Genomic DNA, 26,880 nt, shown 5'->3' on the forward strand with positions numbered 1-26,880 from the left:
TTTAACACTATATGTGTCAGAGAGAAAAAAAAGTGGCAGATGGAGTTTTGACCCAGACTGTGGGGCCCTGGCTGAGGCCTGCCTACCTCGTCAAAGATCTAGATGGAGTTTCTAAGAGTTGGCCCCTGTGCTTAAGAGCCTTGGCAGCAACAGCTCTGCTAGCACAAGAGGTGGATAAGCTAACTCTTGGGCAAAACCTAAACTTAAAGGCCCCCCACGCTATGGTGACTTTCATGAATACATCATTGGCTAACAAATGCTAGATTAACCAAGTACCAAAGCTTGCTATGTGAAAATCCCCGCATAACCATTGAGTTTTGCAACACCCTAAACCCTGCCACCTTGCTCCCAGTATCAGAAAGCCCAGTTGAACATAACTGTGTAGAGGTATTGGACTCCGTTTATTCTAGTGGGACCAATCTCCAAGACCACCCTTGAACAGTAGACTGTGAGCGGTACATGAATGGGAGCAGCTTCGCCAACCCCTGTAAAGTGACTCTGAAGAAGACGAGAAGCCCTGCTCCAGTCACACCCAGAAGCTAACTGGTCCACGCATGGCTGAAGCATGAGAAAACTCTTCATGGGACTCATTTTCCTTAAAATTTGGACTTGTATAGTAAGTACTTCAACTGACCTTCCTCAGACTGAGGACTGTTCCCAGTGTATATATCAAGTCACAGAGGTAGGACAAAAAGTTGCTACAGTCTTATTTTATGCTTATTGTAAGTGTACTGGGACTGTAAAAAGAACTTGTTTGTATAATGCTATTCTATACAAGGTATGTAGCCCAGGAAATGACCAACCTGATGTGTGTTATGACCCATCTGAGCCTCCCATGACCACAGTTTTAAAAATAAGATTAAGTACTGAGGACTGGTGGGGGCTCATAAATGATATGAGTAAAGTGTTAGCCAAAACAGAAGGAAAGAAAAGGGATTCCCAAACAAGTCACCTTGAAATTTGATGCCTGTGCTGTCATTAATAGTAATAAGTTAGAAACATGATGTGGTTCTCTTAATTAGGAAAGAGGCTGTATGGCAGAAAATAAGTACATTTGTCATGAATTAGGACTGTGTGGAAATAAATGTAGATACTGGTCTTGTGTCATTTAGGCTATGTGGATAAAAAATAAAAAGAATCCTGTCCACCTTCAGAAAGGGAAAGTGGCCCTTCCTGTACCAGTGGTCAGTGTAACCCCTTAGAACTAGTAATAACCAATCCCCTTGATCCTTGCTGAAAAAATGGGGAGCATGTAACCCTAGAAATTGATGGGGCTGGACTGGATCCTCGAGTAAATATCGTGGTTTGAGGAGAAGTTTATAAATGCTCTCCTGAGCCAGTATTTCAAATCTTCTATGATGAACTAAATGTGCCAGTACCAGAAATTCCAGGAAAAACAAGAAATTTGTTTTTGCAATAAGCCGAGCATGTAGCCCAGTCTCTCAATGTCACTTCATGTTATGTATGTGGAGGAACTGTAATGGGAGATCAATGGCCATGGGAAGCCCGAGAATTAGTACCTACAGACCCAGTTCCTGATAAATTCCCAGCTCAAAAGACTCACCCTGATAACTTCTAGGTCCTAAAAGCCTCAATCATTAGACAATACTGTATAGCAAGAGTGGGGAAGGACTTCACCCTTCCTGTGGGAAGACTCAGCTGCCTTGGGCAAAAACTGTATAATAGTACTACAAAAACAGCCACCTGGTGGAGTTCAAACCACACTAAGAAAAATCCATTTAGTTAATTCCCAAAGTTGCAAACTGTGTGGACCCACCCAGAGTCCCACCAGGACTGGACAGCCCCCACTGGATTATACTGGATATGTGTGCATAGAGCTTACACCAAATTACCCGGCCAGTGGGCAGGTAGTTGTGTTATTGGCACTATTAAACCATCTTTCTTCCTACTGCCCATAAAGACAGGTGAACTCCTGGGCTTCCCTGTCTATGCTTCCTGCAAAAAGAGAAGCATAGCTATAGGAAATTGGAAAGATGATGAATGGCCCCCTGAAAGAATAATATAATATTATGGGCCTGCTACTTGGGCACAAGATGGCTCATAGGGATTCCAGACTCCCATTTACATACTCAACCAAATCATATGGTTACAAGCTATCTTAGAAATAATCACTAATAAGACTGGCAGAGCCTTGACTATTCTGGCCCAGCAAGAAACTCAGATGAGAAATGCTATCTATCAAAATAGATTGGCTCTTGACAACTTGCTAGCAGCTGAAGGAGGGGTCTGTAGGAAATTTAACCTTACTAATTGCTGTCTACACATAGATGATCAGGGCAAGCAGTTGAAGACATAGTTAGAAATATAACAAAATTGGCACATGTGCCCATGCAAGTGTGGCATGGATTTGATCCTGGGGCCATGTTTGAAAAATGGTTCCCAGTGCTAAGAAGATTTAAAACTCTTATAATAGGAGTTATAATAGTAATAGAAACCTGCTTACTGCTCCCTTGTTTGCTACCCATACTTCTTCAAATGATAAAAAGCTTCATCACTACCTTAGTTTACCAAAATGCTTCAGCACAAGTGTACTATATGAATCACTATCGATCTGTCTTACAAGAAGACATGGGTAGTGAGAATGAAAGTGAGAACTCCCACTAATGAGTGAGATTCTCAAAGAGGGGGAATAAGGGAGGAGACCACCCCTCATATTGTCTTATGCCCAATTTCTGCCTCCAAAGAAGAAGAAGTAAAAACTAAAAGGCAGAAATGAAATCCACAGGCAGATAGCCTGGTGCCGTGCCCTGGGCCTGGTTAAAGATCAACCCCTGACCTAATCAGTTACGTTATCTATAGATTCCAGACATTGTATGGAAAAGCACTGTGAAAATCCCTGTCCTGTTCTGTTCCGTTCTGATTACTGGTGCATGCAGCCCCCAGTCATGTACCGCCTGCTTGCTCAATCAATCACGACCCTTTCATGTGGACCCCCTTAGAGCTGTAAGCCCTTAAAAGGGACAGGAATTGCTCACTCGGGGAGCTCAGTTTTTGGAGACGTGAGTCTGCTGATGCTCCCAGTGGAGTAAAGCTCTTCCTTCTACAACTCGGTGTCTGAGTGGTTTTGTCTGCAGCTCATCCTGCTACAAGACGGTGTCTCACTCTGTTGCCCAGGCTGGAGTGCAGTGGCACGATCTCAGCTCACTGCAATGTCCGCCTCCCAGGTTCATGCCATTCTCCTGCCTCAGCCTCCTGAGTAGCTGGGACTACAGACACCCGCCACCATGCTGAGCCAATTATTTTTGTATTTTTAGTAGAGACGGGGTTTCACCGTGTTAGCCAGGATGGTCTCAATCTCCTGACCTCGTGATCTGCCCACCTTGGCCTCCCAAAGTGCTGGGACTACAGGCATGAGCCACTGTGCCCAGCCTAATTTCTAGAATTTTATAGTACTCTCCAAAATATTTTTATTACATTTATATTTGAATTTTCAAACTTCTCTTTTCCTTGGAGACAGTTCTCTTTTCCTTGGAGACAGTTTTTCTGATAAAACTGAGGAATATTGCCTGCATTTTCTTTCAGTTTTCTGTAAATACAAAAAATAATATTTATACTGACCTTATTAGCTTTGATGATACAGAGTTTGGGATTATTCTGGGCATTAAAAATTAATATTAAGGAAGATAGCATTATGACATCTTGTAACAGTAGACCAAAATAAAACATTTTAAGACTCTGGCCACTACTGAAAACTAGCTCTGTGACTTGTCCTATATATATTTCTGGGTATTATCTGAAGACTCAAAAGTGAGGAACAGAGTGAGGAATCCCAGGAACTGAAAGAAATTAAGTATGGCTGGAGTTAGGAGAAGGGCTAAGACAGGAAGTGATGTGATGACAGTGTCTTATATGAGCAATTATGACAGCCAAACTAAGGTAGTGACAGTGGAAAAGGAGGCATGGATGGACTAGAGAAGAGCTCAGTTATTAGATTACTGTAGGGGATGAGGGAGAGGAAGCACCAAGGGTGACGTTTGTGTCTCAGGCTTAAACAGTTGGATATCCATCAAGAAAAGAGCAAAAGATGTCATTGGAATGGTGGTTTTGTTTAAATACTTCTGGCTTTCCACCATTGTTCATATTGAAAGTACTGCAGATGCTCGCCAGCCTCTGCCTTTTTTAAGAATAAACTTTTTTTAAACTAAAGAACTAAAGCTGAGATTCTTCTGTTCTGTTGTTGAGGGGCTTCCTGTGTGGGATTTCTGCATGCCCGCCCATTTAGTCACAGCAATTTGGGAAGTTTTCTCTTTGGTTTCTGACAATGAGCATTTGGGGGGAAAGCCAGGCATAAATTAGTTACAGTAGTTGGTGTTTAATGTTTCTCCAGTGAAAATTTGGACTTTTATTTTTTCCTTGTAGAACGCATAATTAAAACTCATAGTATTATTTTGAAATGAAATATTAAATATTTTAAAAAAAGAGACTCTTTTTTTTTTTTGAGACAGAGTCTCGCTGTGTCCCCCAGGTTGGAGTGCAGTGGCGTGATCTCAGCTCACTGCAAGCTCCGCCTCCTGGGTTCATGCCATTCTCCTCCCTCAGCCTCCCGAGTAGCTGGGACTACAGGTGCCTGCCACCACGCCTGGCTAATTTTTTGTATTTTTAGTAGAAACGGGGTTTCACCGTGTTAGCCAAGATGGTCTCGATCTCCTGACCTCATGATCCTCCTGTCTCAGCCTCACAAAGTGCTGGGATTACAGGCGTGAGCCACCGCGCCCGGCCAAAAAATAGAGACTCTTAATGGAGGAGCCATAAACTCACATACCTATAGAAGCCAAACTGGTAAAAGCAAGTAGTGGAACCACATGGATTAATGAGATGATAGGAAGTACAAAACAGCCATGTAAGTCAAATTAAAAAGCCAGCTTCCACTTTCTGCTTTAATCTTTTCAAAGCAATAACTATTACATAAATCAGTGGATACAATATTTCAGCAGTATTTGAAATGGTGTTCATACCCAGCAATTCCGCTTCTAGACATAAATCCAAGAGAATTGAAAACATATGTGCACACAGGCACTTGTACATGAATATTCATGGAAGCATTATCCACAACAGCCAAAAAGTGGAAACAGTCCAAATGTCTATCGAGATGAATGAATAAATAAAATGTAGTGTATGCATGCAGTGAAATATTATTTGGCCATAAAAAGAAATGAAGCACTGATGCAGGCTGCAACACGGATGAACTTGAAAACTTTATGTTACGTGAAAGAAGCCAGTCATAAAAGGTCACACGCTGTTATTCCTATTATAGGAAATATCCAGATAGGCACGTCCATAGAGACAGAGAGGAGAGGAGACGTTGCCAGGGGCTGGACAAGGAGAATGAGAGTGAGCGCTAATGGATGTTGCATTTCTTTGTGAGGTGGATAGTGGTGATCATTGCACAACTCTGTGAATGTACTAAAAATTATTGAATTGTACACTTTGAAAGAATTAATTATATAGTATGCAATTATATCTCAGTTTTAAAAAAAGGAAAACAGTAACCAAAATCTCCTATGGAAGCATAAAATTTTCTCTGTTAATTATGCCAAATAAAACTGAATTCACAGCAAAAAAAAAAAAAGAAGAGAAAGGATTCCTAAATTATTTAATTACTACTAATATCTGACCTGAAGTTACTTTGAATGTCTTGCTTCTTCATCAGCACTGACCATAGTTCTAGTCAGATTTTCCTATTTTTTTAACTCAAACTGTTGAGAGAGAGAAATGGCGTATATTAGAAAGATGCAATATTGTTTAAACTTTACTACTCTTTTGTTTTTACATTGATTTTCATGTTTATCTTATTCTATTTTGACTGTAATGTATACATTTAACTAAAGATTGTATTTCTCAATTGTAATTTTTTTCTAGTAGAAAACATTTTAAGATGCAGAGTTCTTTTCTTTTTCTCCAATCCCTTTAATAGTCACTTAAACAATTAAGATTGAAGCGATAATAAAACTGCATTTCTTACAAGATTTTGTATGATATTTGTAGTATATACCAATTTTCTCATAATCTCTTCTGCAATAACATTTCATTAATACTCTGGTCCTCAGGTTGTTTCAACAAGGTCAGAAAGATAGGCAAGAAGATGGTAAAATAAACTTACTCATGGGTAAAAGGAATCAAATATTTACTATGTACACTATTCTAGGTTTTACACACTTTACATAAATTAAGTGTGACATAAGTTCTAGTTGTCTGTTAATAGAAAAGCATCACTTTGGGAGGCTGACGCAGGAGGATCCCTTAAGCCCAGGAGTTAGAGACCAGCCTGGGCAAGATGGTGAGACCTCGTCTCTACACACACACACATACACACACACACACACACACACACACAGAGCCCCTATAGTCCTAGCTACTCAGGAGCAGGAGGCTGAGGTGGAAGGATCCCTTGAGCCCAAGTATTTGACGTGGCAGTGAGCTATGATTGTGCCACTGCACTCCAGCCTGGGCAACAAAGCAAGACTTCATCTCTAAATAAAATGAAACAAAATAAAATAAATAAAAAACATAACAGCAATTCCAGGGCCAGCTAAGTCTATGTTTTACATGTGCTTTCACTTTAAGTACAAATTGTGGAAACAAACAATGTATCCTTGCCTAAAGATACATTGTCAACATGGCACTAATACATATTTTCCACTTCCAAAGTTTTTTTTGTAAGTGTACAACGTTAGCACATGGAAACATTCAAGCTGTTTATCATTCCACTGAAATCTGGGTTTTGTTATGTTTTGTTTTGTTTTTCTGTTCTCACCTGCTGAGCAGCATTTGGCCAGCATCACCACAGGGACTTGGTTCTATCACCCGGTAAAGTTAAGATGGGAACAGAAAGTGGCAATTGTGTTTCTGGGAGAGAATTTAAAAAAGAGCTGATTTTTTTTTTTTTTTTTTTTTTGAGACGGAGTCTCGCTCTGTCGCCCAGGCTGGAGTGCAGTGGCGTGGTCTCAGCTCACTGCAAGCTCCGCCTCCCGGGTTCACACCATTCTCCTACCTCAGGGACTTGGTTCTATCACCCGGTAAACTTAAGATGGGAACAGAAAGTGGCAATTGTGTTTCTGGGAGAGAATTTAAAAAAGAGCTGATTTTTTTTTTTTTTTTTTTTTTTTGAAACGGAGTCTCGCTCTGTCGCCCAGGCTGGAGTGCAGTGGCGTGGTCTCAGCTCACTGCAAGCTCCGCCTCCCGGGTTCACACCATTCTCCTACCTCAGCCTCCTGAGTAGCTGGGACCACAGGCGCCCGCCACCATGTCCGGCTAATTTTTTTGTATTTTTAGTACAGACGGGGTTTCACTGTGTTAGCCAGGATGGCCTGGATCTCCTGACCTTGTGATCCGCCTGCCTCGGCCTCCCAAAGTGCCAGGATTACAGGCGTGAGCCACCGTGCCCAGCCTTTTTTCTTTAACTTAACACTGCTAGCTTTAAAAGGTAGTGTGTAATTTTAAAGCACTGAAGTTGTCATTTAAATAAGAAAATGCACTTGGCTTAATCAACTGTGAAATGAAGACGATATCACTGCCTTTTCAGGCATTAGACCAAAGCCAATTATTTTGAGCCAAGTGATACCAAGTTTATATTGCACTACAGTTTTCAAGGACATAGTGTTTCTACCCTCTCCGAACCTAAGTTGCCCCCTCACTCCTCCAGCCAACCCCCCTTTCTCTGGGCCCGTTCTTTCCCAGCTGAGCTGTTTGCCCCTTGCTCCCTTTCCCTCCTCTATTTGCCCTTTGACTGTCCCTCTATCTATATCTGGGCTAGTGCAAAAGGTTTCTTCACTGCCTGGTCAGTCACTGACCAGTCACCACTGCACTGGGGTGGATTTGGGATCCTATTAGTAAAACTGACTATCTGGTATGTTTGTGCTGGTCATCTCCCCTGAAAATGATATTGTGCCTCATCATCAAAAGTACTGTTTAAGGGATAAGGATGGCAAACCCACAAGGTATCTGAGAAAATCCTCAAATGTGTGAGTCACCTAGTCAAATGTTCACTTATATATACTACAGGTAAGTTCAGAGATGAACTGTGACTTGCCCGAGGCTGTGCAGCTGACCAGAGGGAGACACTGGAACTGTATTTCTCTTTCCACTATACCATAAAAAAAAACAAGGTTAATGACACTTAAAAAGAGTTTGTAAGTAAACCAAAATGAAATGCCTAGTACATAGGAAAAGTCTTTGGGATCTCCCCACAGATTTTTAGGCAGAATGAAAGCTATCTGTACAATGAGAAATGCTGCTCAGTTCGACAGATGCCACCAAGTACCAACAGATGCCACCAAGTACCAACAGATGCCACCAAGTATCCTTACTGTCGTTCTGAAACTGAGTCTGTGACTGCAGATAATATGTCACTATTTGAGAATAAGAGGTCCCACCCTCTCCATTCTTTTCAGGTCTTCAGTCACAAGGTCACACCTTACTTTCATTGTTTAACAGGATAAATTAATCAGGTTGAAGTAGGACTTAGGAGGTACATTGAAGATAAAAGCAAAACGCAGCAAACATTTTTACAAGTAGATCATCGCGGTTACCTTAAAAGTTAAGTTTCAGATTAATTTACAGAGTAGTGACAGAATCATAATTTCAGTGAAAATCAACAATAGAGTTGTATCATTGAAAAAAGATAAATTTGGAAATACTAAGTCAGGCAAGCACGCGAAATTCAGAATATTAAAAAAGGCAAGGCCTGGTTGCCAACATACGTTCCTCAGATGAAGGTGGATATGAAGATACTAAACAGAACCAAATGACCGAGAAGCTGAAAGGGACACTTTGCAGATCAGCAAATGGACTCCGACTCCCTCGTTCAATACATTGAGGAAAGTGAGCTCACAAAGCTTGATTGGGGTATACATAAATCTAATTCCTGGTGCTGTTTGCAACTACTTATATTTTAAATGCAAGGAGATAATTGCTTAGAACACATTAAGCTCACTGATTTAAACAAAACATTTCAAGACTGACACACTGGAAGGTGGTAATGTTAACACAGCACAACAGCACACCTCGCAGATTTATGTCTAAGAGATTAAATGGAATCATCACCTCAAAATTTTAATCCTCAGTTTTCACAAACACGATCAAGTCTCTATCAAATTTTCTGATTTATAGCATAATGCACTAGCCGTAAAAATGTGCATTCTTCAGTTTCTCCTACACTTTTCTGCCTATCTTTCAACACTGAGCCCTGGGTGTTTTCAACATAAGCAAGGCCATATGCACATTTTAATCTCATGTTTTAGAAATGAACAAAATCTGTGATATTTCAGTAGCTCATAGTGTACTTAAAAAATGAAAAGATCTCTATCAAAATATGCTTTTCACTGGGAAAAATAAATGAACCAAATGGATTTACACAAAGTAAACATTAACTTTGGTAGATTTCAATGTAGAATAGTTCATAACAAGCATATTTGCCCTTCTGCTCAACTACCAAGTTAAGACTTTTTCAAGTATTTTAACTGAGATTTTATTATGTTGACATTTGTTTCTCATTCCACATCGTCTTTGGCCAAGCGCCAGCACTTACAAGTCTCTGATTAACTGGTAGGGGCTTTGTCAGAAGCATCTGGATCACTGGTAGTGGAAGAGTTTGTTGTAACACTTGCAGTAACCACTGTGGCTGTCCACACACAGCACTTGGATTTGTCAGGTGGTCTACACCTTTAGCTAGGATCTCTTCACCAAAGCTATATCTCTTCCAGGAAGAATTTCTGGACAGCTTCAGCATCTTTAAGGTCAGCTAACTTGGAAAGCTCAACTCACTCCTCGGCCAGCTTCTGTTTCTTTCTTTATTCTGGACGCCTATTCTTTAAGTTGGGGTCACTTCAGTCTTTTGCGGTCGAAGTAGATGCAGTACCCGATGAAAAGGGCCCCGAATACTCCAGCGGCGATGGCTCCGTTCCGACCCAGCCTCTTCCCCAGAACGCTGAGTGTGGACTGCGGCGGTGGGGGAAAGGAGCGGTTGCCCACAAACCATCCGAGCACAGGGAGCCGCTCAGACCCGACGCCGGCGGGACAGGCACTTGGAAAGCAAGATCCAGGGTTCTGAAGATTAAAATCGTTAGTTCATTTACTATATTTGTGCAAGTTTGAGAGAGAGTCATGTGTATAGGATTACCACTGAGTTTATATTATTTTCTCTATGCCTGGAGAGTGTTTCTTTTGTTTTAGTTTATTTGTTTGTTTTGATTTTTTGCTTGTTTGTTTTTGAGACCTATTCTCGTTCTGTCACCCCAGGTTGGAGTGCAGTGGCGTGATCTCAACTCACTGCCACCTGCGCCTCCCAGACTCAAGCCATCCTTTCGCCTCAGCCTTCTGCGTAGCTGGGATTGCAGGAGCGGCCACCACGCCCGGCAATTTTTTTTTTTTTTTTTTTTTTTTTTGAGATGGAGTTTTGCTCTTTGTTGCCCAGGCTGGAGTGAAGTGGCACGATCTTGGCTCACTGCAACCTCCATCTCCCAGGTTCAAGCGATTCTCCTGACCCAGCCGCATGAGTAACTGGGATTACAGGAGCCCACCACCACACCCGGCTAATTTTTGTATTTTTAGAAGAGACAGGGTTTCACTATGTTGGCCAGGCTGGTCTCGAACTCCTGACCTCGTGATCTACCCGCCTCTGCCTCCCAAAGTGCTGAGATTACAGGCGTGAGCCACCGCACCCCGCCAGTGTTTCTTAAAGAGTTAGCATATTTAAAGAATTGGATGTTTTGGGCTTAATTTCTTATTTTTTCCCTGGGATTCTTAGAGACCCCCTCTACTAGATTTATATAAACACTTAGTAACATCTTCAAACTGATCAATATAGGACCATAGAATTTGAGAGACATTAATATCCTTATTTTCTAATATCCACTGAAGATAGTTTATCTTTCTGAGGAAACTATTTCCCTTAGTTGTCCTTCACATATCACTACCACTTCACAAGAACAAACAGTTTTTGCAACTCTATTACTTCAGCATCAAAAAGGTTGGGGTCCCTACTAGGGGCATGGAATCCTCTAAGATTCTTCATTCCATTTTCCAGCTCCCCAGCATATAGGAACCTCAGTGCACCAGGCATTAGTTGTCCTAAAGCAAAACATTCCATCACTTTGATCAGATTAAAACTCTAACCAGTTCTGCCTTTCCATTCTGGAATACGTGTTTAAGAAGGATAGAACTATACTCCTTCTTTTTGTAGTACAGGATTTGTCAGCCTTGACACTATTGAGATTTGTGGCTGGAAAATTGTTTGTTGTGGGGGGCTATCCTGTACCTTCTAGGATGTTCAGCAGTATCCCTGGCCTCTATCCACCAGGTACCATTAACACACTCCCCTCAAGGGGTGACAACCGGAAATATCTCCAGATATTATGTCCCTTGGAGGGCAAAATCCACCACCCCCTCCACTCTATTGAGAGCCACTGGTCTAGTCTAATGATGAGCAGATTAATTTTAACAATGAGCAGACCTATTTTAATGATCCATATACCAGTGCCATCCAACAGAAATATAATGCAATACATAAATGTGATTTTAATATAGTAAGCACATTTTTAAAAGGTAAAAATAAATAAGCAGCTTTACTTTTAATAAAATATTTTATTCAACTAAATATTTCCAAAATATTATCATTTTGACACGTAATCCATTTAAAAATGATTCATGTAATTTTTCATTCTTTGTCATACTAAGTTTTTGAATCCCAGTGTCTATTTTACACTTACTTGTCATCTCAATTTGCACCAGCCACATAGCAAGCACTAATTTTCTACACATGGCTAATGTGTGCCATGGGCACTGCAGTCATATACAGTGACATCCCGCAAAAGCCAGAATAGTCAACATAAACAAATTAAGAAAACAAACAAATAGCAGTGAGGGCACAGATCTTGGTTTTTGCCATTCTTCAGTAAAAGGAACCAGAGCTTCTTGGAGAAATGGCTGATTTTAGGGCTGGGGCAGAGAAAAAAAAATCACAAGCATTCCTATACACCAACAACAGACAAGCACAGAGCCAAATCATGAGTGAACTCCCATTCACAATTGCTACAAAGAGAATAAAATACCTAGGAATACAACTTACAAGGGACGTGAAGGACCTCTTCAAGAACTACAAACCACTGCTTAAGGAAATAAGAGAGGACACAAATAAATGGAAAAACATTCCAAGCTCATGGATAGGAAGAATCAATATTGTGAAAATGGCCATACTGCCCAAAGTAATTTATAGATTCAATGCTATTCCCATCAAGCTACCAGTGACTTTCTTTGCAGAATTAGAAAAAACTACTGTAAATTTCATATGGAACCAAAAAAGAGCCCATATAGCCAAGACAATCCTAAGCAAAAAGAACAAAGCTGGAGGCATCACACTACCTAACTTCAAACTATACTACAAGCCTACAGTAACCAAAACAGCATAGCACTGGTACCAAAACAGATACATCAACCAATGAAACAGAACAGAGACCTAAGAAATAACACCACACATCTACAACCATCTGATCTTCGACAAAACTGACAAAACAAACAATGGGGAAAGGATTCCCTGTTTAATAAATCATGCTGGGAAAACTGGCTAGCCATATGCAGAAAACAGAAACTGTACTCCTTCCTTACACCTATACAAAAATTAACTCAAGATGGATTAAAGACTTAAATGTAAAACTCAAAACCATAAAAACGCTAAAAGAAAACCTAGGCAATACCATTCAGGACATAGGCATGGGCAAAGACTTCATGACTAAAACAAAAGCAATTGCAACAAAAGCTAAAATTGACAAATGGGATCTAATCAAACTAAAGAGCTTCTGCACAGCAAAATAAACTATCATCAGGGTGAACAGGCAACCTACAGAATGGGAGAAAATTTTTGCAATCTACCATCTGACAAAGGTCTAATATCCAGGATCTACAAGGAACTTAAACAAATTTACAAGAGAAAAACAAACAACCCTATCAAAAAGTGGGCAAAGGATATGAACAGACACTTCTCAAAAGAAGACATCTATGACCAGGTGTGGTGGCCCACGCCTGTAATCCCAGCATTTTGGGATGCCGAGGTGGGTGGATCACTTGAGGTCAGGAGTTTGAGACCACCCTGGCCAACACGGTGAAACCCCATCTCTACAAAAATACAAAAATTAGCTGGGCATTGTGGCAGGTGCCTATAATCCCAGCTACTCGGGAAGCTGAGGGAGGAGAATTGCTTGAAGCCAGGAGGCAGAGGTTGCAGTAAGCCGAGATCGTGCCACTGCACTCCAGCCTGGGAGACAGAGTGAGACTGTATTTAAAAAAAAAAAAAAAAAGACATTTATGCACCGAACAAACATGAAAAAAAGCTTACCATCACAGGTCATTAGAGAAAAGCAAATCAAAACCACAATGAGATAGCATCTCACACCAGTTAGAATGACGATTATTAAAAAGTCAGAAAACAACAGATGCTGGAGAGGATGTGGAGAAATAGGAACACTTTTACATTGTTGGTGGGAGTGTAAATTAATTCAACCATTGTGGAAGACAGTGTGGCAATTCCTCAAGGATCTAACACCAGAAATACCATTTAACCAAGCAATCCCATTACTGGGTATATACCCAAAGGATTATAAATCATTCTACTATAAAGACACATGCACACATATGTTTACTGCAGCACTATTTACAATAGCAAAGACTTGGAACCAACCCAAATGCCCATCAATGATAGACTGGATAAAGAAAATGTGGCACGTACACACTATGCAGCCATAAAAAAGAATGAGTTCATGTCCTTTGCAAAGACGTGGATGAAGCTGGAAGCCATGATTCTCAGCAAACTAACACAGAAACAGAAAACCAAACACCACATGTTCTCACTTATGAGTGGGAGTTGAACAATAAGAACACACGGACACACAAAGGGGAACATCACACACTGGGGCCTGTCAGAGGGTAGGGGGGCAAGGAGAGGGAGAGCATTAGGACAAATACTTAATGCATGCACGGCTTAAAATCTAGATGACAGGTTGATGGGTGCAGCAAACTACCATGGCACATGTATACCTATGTAACAAACCTGCACGTTCTGCACATGTATCCCAGAACTTAAAGCAAAATAAAATAAATAAAAAAGAAAGAGCTTCCAATGGCTAATACTAGAACAATTTGAGGAACTAAATAATGTAATATTGAAATATAACCCAAAATATTAAATAAATACCTATAAGTTCATTCATACAAGTAAAAGATTGAATGAATGAGTAAATGGAGAAAAGACAAGTCTCCTATACAGAAGAATTCCAAATAACTTATGTATAATAGCTACATCCTCTCTCCCCACATCAAGGAAGTGGCACTTCAATCCCCACCCTTTGAGTGTGAACTGCACTTATGACACCTGAGGGAGGAAAAGTAAATACGGTGGATCAACCTGGCAAACACTTTCTGACTCATACAGTCAAGGTTAATATCCACATGATAAGACATGTCGATCGCATACACCCCTGATATGATATGATGACAATTACAGTTCATCCCTGTGGTCTTCCTCTTGAAAATCTTGAGTATGAAAAATAAAATCCTAAGCCCCCCAACCACTGAACAGACCCTCTCTTGGCCAAGGGGACCCCAGAAAAACCTTAAAAGTTGAATTTGCAAGCATAATGGAATGGCAGGTCAGCCGCACCTCATTATAACCGCTCTCTTTTGCAGTTTAGACACAACAACTGACCAGCACTCAGGTTAAAATAAACATCATAAGACCGATGGAACAGTCTCTTCGTGGCAATAAGATACCAAGTTGTAAATAGGACCTAAAGCCTTGACAGGCAAGAATTGAGTCACGCGTCCCTACACTTAAAGAATAAACTATGTTCTAATAGCCACAAGCTTTTTCTTTTCTTCTATCAGCTAAACAAACACTGGCCTGGAGATAAGCAATATTAAAACAACTGCAGCGCATCCACTGCCAGACATGAACCAACTGACCACCTGCTCCACCAGCCCTAACTACAGCTTTGACTGGACAAGAGACTGATTTTAGTAACTTTCTTCTGATAACAAGACCACCAACCATGGACTGCTTCTGGCTGGTTTCGATTCTGAGCACTTGAGTGCCTTCTTCTCCTGAAAAGACTTTTGATGTGTAAGGTCTAATTGTAATAGATATAAAAGTTAAAACATATAGGGTCTAATTGTAATAATTATAAAGTTTAGTCTCTACTGGCTGGGCACGATGGCTCATGCCTGTAATCCCAACACTTTGGGAGGCCAAGACGGATGGATCACCTGAGGTCAGGAGTTCAAGACCAGCCTGGCCAACATGGCAAAACCCGTACTCTATTAAAAACACAAAAATTAGACAGGGTTGGTGATGCACGCCTGTAGTCCCAGCTACTCGGGAGGTTGAGGCAGGAGAATTTGCTTGAACCCAGGAGGCAGCAGTTGCAGTGAGCCGAGATCATACCACTGCACTCCAGCCTGGGCGACAGAGCAAAACTCGGTCTCAAAAAAAAAAAAGTTGTCTCTACTAAAAAGTGACCATGGGACACTACACACAATAAGCATGTTTACTCTCCATGCACATGCACAACCCCCTCTCAGGAGTATTCATATCTCCTCCTATAACCTGCTGAATATATATACTGCCCAAGCCATTCAGCACAAATCCCTGTTCCATCCTCCCTTCTCTCAAAGTGCTGCCTTTCTGTCTAAGCTTCCCCCCAATCAGGATGGCCAGCCTGCAAGTTGTAACACTTTATAATAAATAAAATATCTTTTCTAAACTTATAAATTGTGTGATTTTTAAGTTGACAACCTATAACTCCAGCCTAACTATGAGAAAAACATCAGACAAACCCAAAAGGGACATTCTACAAAGTGCCTGAACAGGGCTTCTCAAAACTATCCAGGTCTTCAAAAATAAAGTCTGAAAAATTATCACAGATCCAAGGAAGCTAAGGAGACATAACTACTAAATGTCATATGGCATCCTGGATGGGATCCTGGAACAGACAAGCAGAGTAGGAGAAAACTGGGAAATCCAGATAAATTGCGGAGTTTAGTTCACAGCAATGTACTATGGTTGTGAAAAGTGAACCACAGTAATGTGGTAATGAAAGAGGGAACTGAGTGAAGGGTACACAGGAACTTTCTGTACTATCTTTGCAACTTTTCTGTAAGTCTATGAATATTTTAAAATAAAAAGTTAACTTAAATTTTAAAAGCATTTTGTTTTATTTTACCATGGCTGGGTGGATTTTCAGATCTTTAATAGAGTAAGTCCCAGCTAGCTAAAGCCAGATTGCAGAGATAGGCAGGCACCATCAAAACCCAATTGAGCCTGGCACAGTGGCTCATGCCTACAATTCCAGCAATTGGGGAGGCTGAGGCAGGAGGATCACTTCAGCCCAGGAGTTCAGGGATATGGTGAACTATGATCACTCCAGCTTGAGCTACATAATTGTTTTTACAAAAATATTTTTAAATTATCCAGGCATGATGGCAGGCAACTGGGTCCTAGCTACTCAGGAAGCTGAGGTGAGAGGATTGCTTGAGCTCAGGAAGTTGAGGCTACAGTGAGTCATGATGGTGCCACTGTACTCCAGCCTGGGTGACAGAGCAAGACTCTGTCTCAAGAAAATGAAAAATGACCCGAGTCGGTTTTCTTTAGCTAAAAAAGGTAGAAAATGGACACAGGAAAGGGAACATCACACACACCGGGGCCTGTTGTGGGGTGAGGGGAGAGGGAGGGATAGCATTAGGAGATATACCTAATGTTAAATGACGAGTTGATGGGTGCAGCACACCAGCATGGCACATGTATACATATGTAACAAACCTGCACGTTGTGCACATGTACCCTACAACTTAAAGTATAATAAAAAAAAGGTAGAAAAAATTACCCCATTGTGCTCTCCTAAACACAGTTTGTTGTCACAGATAATTTTACCACTTAATTTTCAAGGGACAAGGTGACTTAGCAGAGAAAATTAAACCCAGATTAAATAATACTTAGAGACATAAGGTCCAACTGCTTACCTGATGAAATTCCTCAGAAACTGACTTTCACAAATGTAGAGAATTCTGTGTGCCTCACAGTGAAACACATTCCTGATCTTCTCCATGATCTTCATGGCCATGATGGTCTTTCCTAAGCCAGGTAAGCCATGGACAAACAATTCTCTGTTCTTGTGGAAGCTTCTGGAGAATATCTCATACTGCTGGGCTGTGAGCAGATTTAAAACCTCATAGCTGCACAGGTCACTCAAGAGAGACCTGAAGCCGAGCAAGACAATCACGAGGGACTGCAGCAGGGCTTCCAATGTGCTGGGTGCCTGCAAAACTATAGGACGCAGGGTAATCCATCGGAGACACTGCAGCCTCCAAAGCCTCTGCGCTGCTCTCAGGACTCAGGCAGAGGACCTTGGCCCTGACACACACCTCCCCAGTGTAGCCCCCCATGTTCACCAGCTTCTGCTTCAAAGTAAGGGCAGTGCAAGTGCAGTAGTCCTGGCCCTGCCAGGGCTGTTCTATGCTATCAGCAGAGCATCACAGATGACTCCTGGCTTCTCCTGCAAATTCAGGTCCACAGCCTAGCTTCTAGAGAGGATCACAATTCCCCAGGAGAAAGGTTGGGTTTGCTTATTTATTAACTCCTCTAATCCTTCATTCTGTGAGGACAGCTCCTTCCAGAGGGATTCCAGAGTACATCGCAAATATCCTGGTAGCACTAGATGTGAAAAGAATGAGAAATTAGGGGAAGGAGAAGAATCATACTGATTATGACAATTAGTTATAATTAACTGATTAATATATTTGATTATTAATTACAGATATTTCAAATATTCTTCTATAAACATTATATTACAATTATAAAGGAAAAGAAGCTTTGAAATATCTGGTAAATCTCATCTAAACCCATGTGTTTATTATGCCTTTGACCTAACCTCTCTGAGACTTTGCTCTCTCATTTGTAAAACAAAACTAAGAATAGCACATTTCCTATGGAGAGGAATAAATGAAGTAACATAAAGAGTCTGGCTCATTGCAGCTGCTTGAAAAAGATGAGTCCTATTCCCCATCCCACTCTCAAAGTGCATGAATCTCAAAATGTCCCTGAACAGTCCCCACTAATGGGGGTAGCAGGAGCCTTCCCAGGAAGAAGGTACTCATTAGCACAATATTTGCGGAGAAGAGGAAGTTACGTAAAAGCTTTTATTGGCAGTTAATTTTCTTCAGTCCTCAACTAGGAGACCCTTGAAGCTATCTCTCCTGAAGCAGAATTGTTGCATCACATACAGATCAATCTGAGGCTCCCCCCCATTACAAAAGTCTTCTCTTTGTCACAGGCAAACAAGGAACAATTACGTGACATGAGAATATACTTGTGCTACAGAGTTATAAACTTATTTTAGGCTGGGTGCGGTGGCTCACTCCTGTAATCCTAGCACTTTGGGAGGCCGAGATGGGTGATCACTTGAGCCCAGGAGTGCGAGACCAGCCTGGGCATAATGGTGAAACCCTGTTTCTACAAAAAATATAAAAATGATCTAGGCATAATGGTGCATGCCTGTAGTCCCATCTCCTCAGGAGGCTGAGGTGGGAGGATTGCTTGAGCCCAGGAGGCGGAGGTTGCAGTGAGCTGAGATTGTGCCACTGCACTCCAGCCTAGGTGACTGAGTCAGAACTTGTCTTAAAAAAAAAAAAATTTCAAAGATCATGGGGTCCAAAGGGAGAAAAACAAGAATGTTTTTGCCCTATTGTGGCAGTGGCAGAATACAAACCAGAATCAAGATTTGTAAGTGGTAATTTGAAATTGAAATTACCCAAACTTTACTGGTAATTGTTTATTGTTCATTGTTGCTTGTGCTTTCTCATTCATACCAGGTGTTCACACAACTTGATTATGCCTGCAACGTGGATGTTAGTGAGTAGGAGATGGCATCTATTATGACATACATCTAGATTTTAGAGATGTTAAGAAGTTGGGGGAGATAAATAAAACCCCCATCTCCCTGGGACAGAGCACCTGGGGGAAGGGGCGGCTGTGGGTGCAGTGTCAGCAGACTTTAGTGTACCTGCCTGACAGCTCTAAAGAGAGCAGCAGATCTCCTAGCACAGCGTTCGAGCTTGCTAAGGGTCAGATGGCCTCCTCAAGTGGGTCCCTGGCCCATGTGTATCCCAATTGGGAGACACCTCCCAGCAGGGGCCAACAAACACCTCATACAAGAGAGCTCTGGCTGGCATCTGGTGGGTGCCCCTCTGGCACGAAGCTTCCAAAGGAAAGAACAGGCAGCAATCTTTGCTGTTCTGCAGCCCACACTGGTGATACCCAGGCAAACGGGGTCTGCAGTGGACCTCCAGCAAACTCCAGCAGACCTGCAGCAGAGGGGCCTGACTGTTAGAAGGAAAACTAACAAACAGAAAGGACTAGCACATCCACTCAGAGACCCCATCTGAAGGTCACCAACATCAAAGACAAAAGGTAGATAAATCCATGAAGATGGGGAGAAACCAGCTCAAAAAGGCTGAAAATTCCAAAAACCAGAATACCTCTTCTCCTCCAAAGGATCACAACTCCTTGCCAGCAAGGGAACAAAACTGGACGGAGAATGAGTTTGACAAATTGACAGACGTAGGCTTCATAAGGTGGGTAATAACAAACTCCTCTGAGCTAAAGGAGCATGTTTTAACCCAACACAGGGAAGCTAAGAACCTTGAAAAAAGGTTAGACAAATTGCTAACTAGAATAACCAGTTTAGAGAAGAATATAAATGACCTGATGGAGCTGAAAAACACAGCACGAGAACTTCGTGAAACATACACAAGTATCAGTAGCCAAATTGATCAAGCAGAAGAAAGGATATCAGAGACTGAAGATCAACTTAATGAAATAAAGCAAGAAGACAAGAATAGAGAAAAAAGAATGAAAAGGAATGAACAAAGCCTCCAAGAAATATGGGACTATGTGAAAAGACCACATCTACGTTTGATTGGTGTACATGAAAGTGATGAGGAGAATGGAACCAATTTGGAAAACACTCTTCAGGATATTATCCAAGAGAACTTCCCCAACCTAACAAGACAGGCCAACATTCAAATTTAGGAAATACAGAGAACACCACAAAGATATTCCTCGAGAAGAGCAACCCTAAGACACATAATCGTCAGATTCACCAAGGTTGAAATGAAGGAAAAAAATGTTAAGGGCAGCCAGAGAGAAAGGTTGGGTTACCCACAAACGGAAGCCCATCAGACTAACAGCAGATCTCTCTGCAGAAATCCTACAAGCCAGAAGAGAGTGGGGGCCAATATTCAACATTCTTAAAGAAAAGAATCGTCAACCCAGAATTTCATATCCAGCCAAACAAAGTTTCACAAGTGAAGGAGAAATAAAATCCTTTACAGACAAGAACATGCTGAGAGATTTTGTCACCACCAGGCCTGCCTTACAAGAGCTCCTGAAGGAAGCACTAAACATGGAAAGGAACAACTGGTACCAGCCACTTCAAAAACATACCAAATTGTAAAGACCATCGACACTATGAAGAAACCATCAACTATGGGCAAAATAACCAGCTAGCATCATAGTAACAGGATCAAATTCACACATAACAATATTAACCTTAAATGTAAATGGGCTAAATGCCCCAATTAAAAGACACAGACTGGCAAATTGGATAAAAGAGTCAAGACCCATCAGTGTGCTGTATTCAGGAGACCCACCTCACGTGCAAAGACACACATAGGCTCAAAATAAAGGGATGGAGGAATATTTACCAAGCAAAGGAAAGCAAAGAAAAGCAGGGGTTTCAATCTTAGTCTCTGATAAAACAGACTTTAAACCAACAGAGATCAAAAAAGACAAAGAAGGGCATTACATAATGGTAAAGGGATCAATGCAACAAAAAGAGCTAACTATCCTAAATATATATGTACCCAATACAGGAACACCCAGATTCATAAAGCAAATTCTTAGAGACCTACCAAGAGACTTAGACTCCCACACAGTAATAGTGGGAGACTTTAACACTCTACAGTCAATATTAGACAGATCAACGAGACAGAAAATTAACAAGGATATTCAGGACTTCAACTCCGCTCTGAACCAAGCGGATCTAATAGACATCTACAGACCTTTCCACTGCAAATCAGCAGAATATACATTCTTCTCAGCACCTCATGGCACTTATTCTAAAATTGACCACATAATTAGAAGTAAAACACTCCTCAGCAAATGCAAAATAACAGAAATCATAACAAAAATCCTCTCAGTCCACAGTGCAATCAAATTAGAACTCAGGATTAAGAAACTCACTCAAAACCACATAACTACATGGAAACTGAACAACCTGCTCCTGAATGACTACCAGGTAAATAACGAAATGAAGGCAGAAATAAAGACGTTCTTCATAACCAATGAGAACAAAGACACAACGTGCCGGAATCTCTGGGACACATTTAAAGCAGTGTGTAGAGGGAAATTTATATCACTAAATGCCCACAAGAAAAAGCAGGAAAGATCTAAAATCGACACCCTAACATCACAATTAAAAGAACTAGAGAAGCGACAGCAAACAAATTCAAAAGCTAGCAGAAGACAAGAAATAACTAAGATCAGAGCATAAATGAAGGACATAGAGACACAAAAACCCCTTCAAAAATTCAATGAATCTAGGAGCTGGTTTTTTGAAAAGATCCACAAGATAGATAGACTACTACCGAGACTAATAAAGAAGAAAAGAGAGAAGAATCAAATAGATGCAATAAAAAAATCATAAAGGGGATATCACCACGAATCCCACAGAAATGCAAACCACCATCAGAGAATACTGTAAACACCTCTATGCAAATAAACTAGAAAATCTAGAAGAAATGGATAAATTCCTGGACGCATAGGCCCTCCCAAGTCTAAACCAGGAAGAAGTCGAATCCCTGAATAGACCAATAACAGCTTCTGAAATTGAGGCAGTAATTAATACCCTACCAACCAGAAAAACTCCAGGACCAGACAGATTCACAGCTGAATTCTACCAGAGGTATGAAGAGGAGCTGGTACCATTCCTTCTGAAGTTATTCTAAACAATAGAAAAAGAGGGAATCCTCCCTAACTCATTTTATGAGGCCAGCATCATCCTGATACCAAAACCTGGTAGAGATACAACAAAAAAAAGAAAATTTTTTTTGATGAACATCAATGCAAAAAATCCTCAAAAAAATACTGGCAAACCGAATCCAGCAGCACATCAAAAAGCTTATCCACCACAGTCAAGTCAGCTTCATCCCTGGGATGCAAGGCTGGTTGAACATACGCAAATCAATAAACGTAATCCATCACATAAACAGAACGAATGACAAAAGCCACATGATTATCTCAATAGATGCAGAAAAGGCCTTCAACAAAATTCAACACCCCTCCATGCTAAAAATTCTCAATAAACTAGGTATCGATGGAACGTACCTCAAAATAATAAGAGCTATTTATCACAAACCCACAGCCAGTATCATACTGAATGGGCAGAAGCTGGATACATTCCCTTTGAAAACCAGCACAAGACAAGGATGCCCCCTCTCACCACTCCTAGTCAACATAGTATTGGAAGTTCTGGCCAGGGAAATGAGGCAAGAGAAAGAAATAAAGGGTATTCAAGTAGGAAAAGAGGAAGTTGAATTGTCTCTGTTTGCAGATGACATGATTGTATATTTAGAAAACCCCACAGTCTCAGCCCAAAAATCTCCTTAAGCTTATAAGCAACTTCAGCAAAGTCTCAGGATACAAAATCAATGTGCTAAAATCACAAGCATTCCTATGCACCGATAACAGACAGACAGCCAAATCATGAGTGAACTCCCATTCACAATTGCTACAAAGAGAATAAAATACCTAGGAATACAACTTACAAGGGATGTGAAGGACCTCTTCAAGGAGAACTACAAACCACTGCTCAAGGAAATAAGAGAGGACACAAATAAATGGAAAAACATTCCATGCTCATGGATAGGAAGAATCAATATTGTGAAAATGGCCATACTGCCCAAAGTAATTTACAGATTCAATGCTATCCCCATCAAGCTACCAGTGACTTTATTCACAGAACTGGAAAAAACTACTTTAAACTTCATATAGAACCAAGCCTGCATAGCCAAGACAATCCTAAGCAAAAAGAACAAAGCTGGAGGCATCAAGCTACCCTACTTCAAACTATATTACAAGGCTACAATAACCAAAACAGCATGGTGCTGGTACCAAAACAGACATATAGACCAATGGAACAGAACAGAGGCCTCAGAAATAACACCACACATCCACAACCATTTGATCTGACAAACCTAACAAAAACAAGCAATGGGGAAAGGATTCCCTATTCAATAAATGGTGTTGGGAAAACTGGCTAGCCACATGCAGAAAACTGAAAGTGGACCCCTTCCTTATGCCTTATACAAAAATTAACTCAAGATGGATTAAAGACTTAAATGTAAGACCTAAAACCATAAAAATCCTAGAAGGAAACCTAGGCAATAACATCCAGGACATAGGCATTGGCAAAGACTTCATGACTAAAACACCAAAAGCAATGGCAACAAAAGCCAAAACTGACAAATGGGATCTAATTAAACTAAAGAGCTTCTGCACAGCAAAAGAAACTAACATCAGAGTGAACAGGCAATCTACAGCATGGGAAAAAATTTTTGCAATCTATCCATGTGACAAAGGGCTAATATCCAGAATCTACAAGGAACTTAAACAAATTCACAAGAAAAAAACAAACAACCCCATCAAAAAGTGGGCAAAGGATATGAACAGACAGTTCTCAAAAAGAAGACATTTATGCACCCAACAAACATATGAAAAAAAGCTCATCATCACTGGTCATTAGAGAAAAGCAAATCAAAACCACAATGAGATACCATCTCATGCCAGTTAGAATGGCGATCATTAAAAAGTCAGGAAACAACAGATGCTGGAGAGGATGTGGAGAAATAGGAATGCTTTTACACTGTTGATGGGAGTGTAAATTAGTTCCACCATTGTGGAAGACAGTGTGGCAATTCCTCAAGGATCTGGAACCAGAAATACCATTTGACCCAGCAATCCCATTACTGGGTATATACCCAAAGGATTATAAATTATTCTGCTATAAAGACACATACACACATATGTTTATTGTGGCACTATTCACAATAGCAAAGACTTGGAACCAACCCAAATGTCCATCAATGATAGACTGGATAAAGAAAATGTGGCACATATACACCATGGAATACTATGCAGCCATTAAAAAGGATGAGTGCATTGCTTTGCAGGGACATGGATGAAGCTGGAAACCATCATTCTCAGCAAACTAACACAAGAACAGAAAACCAAATACCACATGTTCTCTCTCATAAGTGGGAGTTGAACAATGAGAACACACGGACACATAAAGGGGAACATCACACACTGGGGCATATCTGGGGGTGGGGGGCTAGGGGAGGGACAACATTAGGAGAAATACCTAATGTGGGTGACGGGTTGGTGGGTGCAGCAAACCACCATGGCATGTGAATACCTATGTAACAAACCTGCACATTCTGCACATGTACCCCAGAACTTAAAGTATAATAAGAAAAGAACTTGTCCATATAACAAAATACCACCTGTTCCCCTAAAACTATTGAAATAATAAAAATAATAATAGTAAATAAAAAATAAAATAGATTAGAAAAGAAAAAAGTTGAAGAGATGGAAGCTCAGAAACATTAATTAACTTTCTCAAAGTCACTCAAACCCATACTGAAAGAGAAACCCATACTCTTCCGACTAACATTATAACCTCATAAACGTCATCTGTCACGTCTTTTGGTACCCTGGCTAGCCTCCTGGGTGACTGCTTTGTCTTTTTTTTTTTTTTTTTTTTGAGATCGAGACCATCCTGGCCAACATGGTGAAACCCCGTCTCTACGAAAAATACAAAAAATTAGTCAGGCGTGGTGGCAGGCACCTGTAGTCCTAGCTACTCGGGAGGCTGAGGCAGGAGAATCACTTGAACCCGGGAGGCGGAGGTTGCAGTGAGCCAAGATTGTGCCACTGCACTCCAGTCTGGTGACAGAGTGAGACTCTGTCAGAAAAAAAAAGAGAAAGAAAGGAAGGAAGGAAGGAAGGAAGGAAGGAAGGAAGGAAGGAAGGAAGGAAGGAAGGAAGGAAGGAAGGGAAGGGAAGGGAAGAAAGAAAGAAAGAAAGAAAGAAAGAAAGAAAGAAAGAAAGAAAGAAAGAAAGAAAGAAAGAAAGAAAGAAAAGAAAAGAAAAGAAAAGAAAAGAAAAGAAAGAAAGAAAGAAAGAGAAAGGGAGAGAAGTTAAACTTTTGGACTATACATTCTTATGTAGATAGTGGGGGAAATGAAGATGGCCAAGGGACGTGGTAAATCTGACAAATGGAGTAAAAGGAACATCAATGATTCTTAGTCTTTTTTATTTCAAAGAACTTGTATTTGGGAGTGGTTGTGCAAATCAATAAAACTTAACTGTGCTATGGTGAGAAGGGGGCTCCTAAGACTCTCAGAATTGTGCCACAACCTGCACAATCACTTTTTTCTTTTGCTTGACTATGCATTCGTGCATGCCGTGAAAACATTTCGTTATTTGATTCAGTAGCGCAGGAAACATTCAATGAAAGCTCACACTAAACACAGTCCTGTCAGAGATACTAAGAATCTGTCTGCTGGGGACATATGGTTTAGGTCACAACAAATTGCCATAACGTGGCTTAAACATATGTGAAGAAAAATCCATAGCCCCAAATGCCTATATTGGTTAAAGAGAAAGATAAAAGTAGAGTGAATTTACAGAACTTAGAAAAAGAACTAGATCACAAAGGAACACAAAATAAAGGGAATAATAAATGTAAGGGCAGGAGGAAATTGAAAAATTAAAAAACAATTTATTTGATTAATTAACAAGATTAAAAGTTTTGTTTTTCCTTGTTTTGCTTTTTTGTCTGGTTTTCCATCTTTTTAGACAACCCACTAGCACTTTTATTTTTTTCACTAGCATCTTTATTATTTTAAAGAAATGAACAAATAAAATGGTGGTTGATGCAGGTGTGAAAAGGAAATAGACTTCTGAGCAGGAAATTATGTAGAAGGCCAGATCTTTCATGATCTTACTCATATGTCTGATACGTGCCTTGTAATAAAGCTTACAACTGTCTTCTTCTGTATTTTATGACCATTAAAACAACCTTGTCAGATTATTTATACAAAGTGCCATTTGTGACATACAAGCTTTAAAGTTTTAATGTTTATTCCTATGGACATGTTCTTTCAAGTATAGCATGCCATTGGTTTCCATGGATAAAATTTTCATATTGGCAACTCTCTTCTTTTATTATATTTACTTATTTATTTATTTATTTTTGAGATGGAGTTTCACTCTTGTTGCCCAGGCTGGAGTGCAGTGGCGCGATCTCGGTTCACTGCAACCTCCATCTCGCAGGTTCAAGTGAGTCTCCTGCCTCAGCCTCCCAAGTAGCTGGAATTACAGGTTCCTGCCACCACGCCTGGCTAACTTTTTAAATTTTTTTTATTTTTATTTTTTTAATAGAGATGGGGTTTCATCGTGTTGGCCAGGATGGTCGTGAAATCCTGACCTCAGGTGATCCACCCACCTCGGCCTCCCAAAGTGCTGGGATTATAGGTGTGAGCCACCCAGCCCGGCCTGACAACTCTCTTCTACATCTAAAAGTGCAAATTATTTTGTATGAAATAGAAACCTCAAGAACTGCTAATCTTTTCTTCTCCCTTTAAGACCCAAAGAAAAAAATCAATACACAGAAAACTCTAGTAGATTTCTTCCTCTAAAATCATACCTGAGAAAGATTTGGTTCCATCAAAATATGTATTAAGAAATTTGAAAACATA

At 40.6% G+C, this 26,880-nt stretch overlaps 1 protein-coding gene and 1 pseudogene across 2 annotated transcripts in view; both read right to left on the minus strand.

Moving 5' to 3' along the window:
- The window catches only part of SLFN12L (schlafen family member 12 like), a 73,425-nt gene that overhangs the window by 41,003 nt on the left and 5,542 nt on the right, over positions 1 to 26,880 (minus strand). For both annotated transcript variants that reach the window (NM_001363830.2, NM_001195790.3), the window contains exon 2: positions 17,023 to 17,713. In NM_001363830.2, coding sequence (NP_001350759.2) covers positions 17,023 to 17,108 — 86 coding nt within the window. In that variant the 5' untranslated portion in view covers positions 17,109 to 17,713. The remainder of the gene's footprint in view (positions 1 to 17,022; positions 17,714 to 26,880) is intronic.
- TOMM20P2 (TOMM20 pseudogene 2) lies at positions 9,509 to 9,934 on the minus strand (annotated as a pseudogene).

This window comes from Homo sapiens, chromosome 17, assembly GCF_000001405.40.
Source record: "Homo sapiens chromosome 17, GRCh38.p14 Primary Assembly".
NCBI lineage: Eukaryota > Metazoa > Chordata > Mammalia > Primates > Hominidae > Homo > Homo sapiens.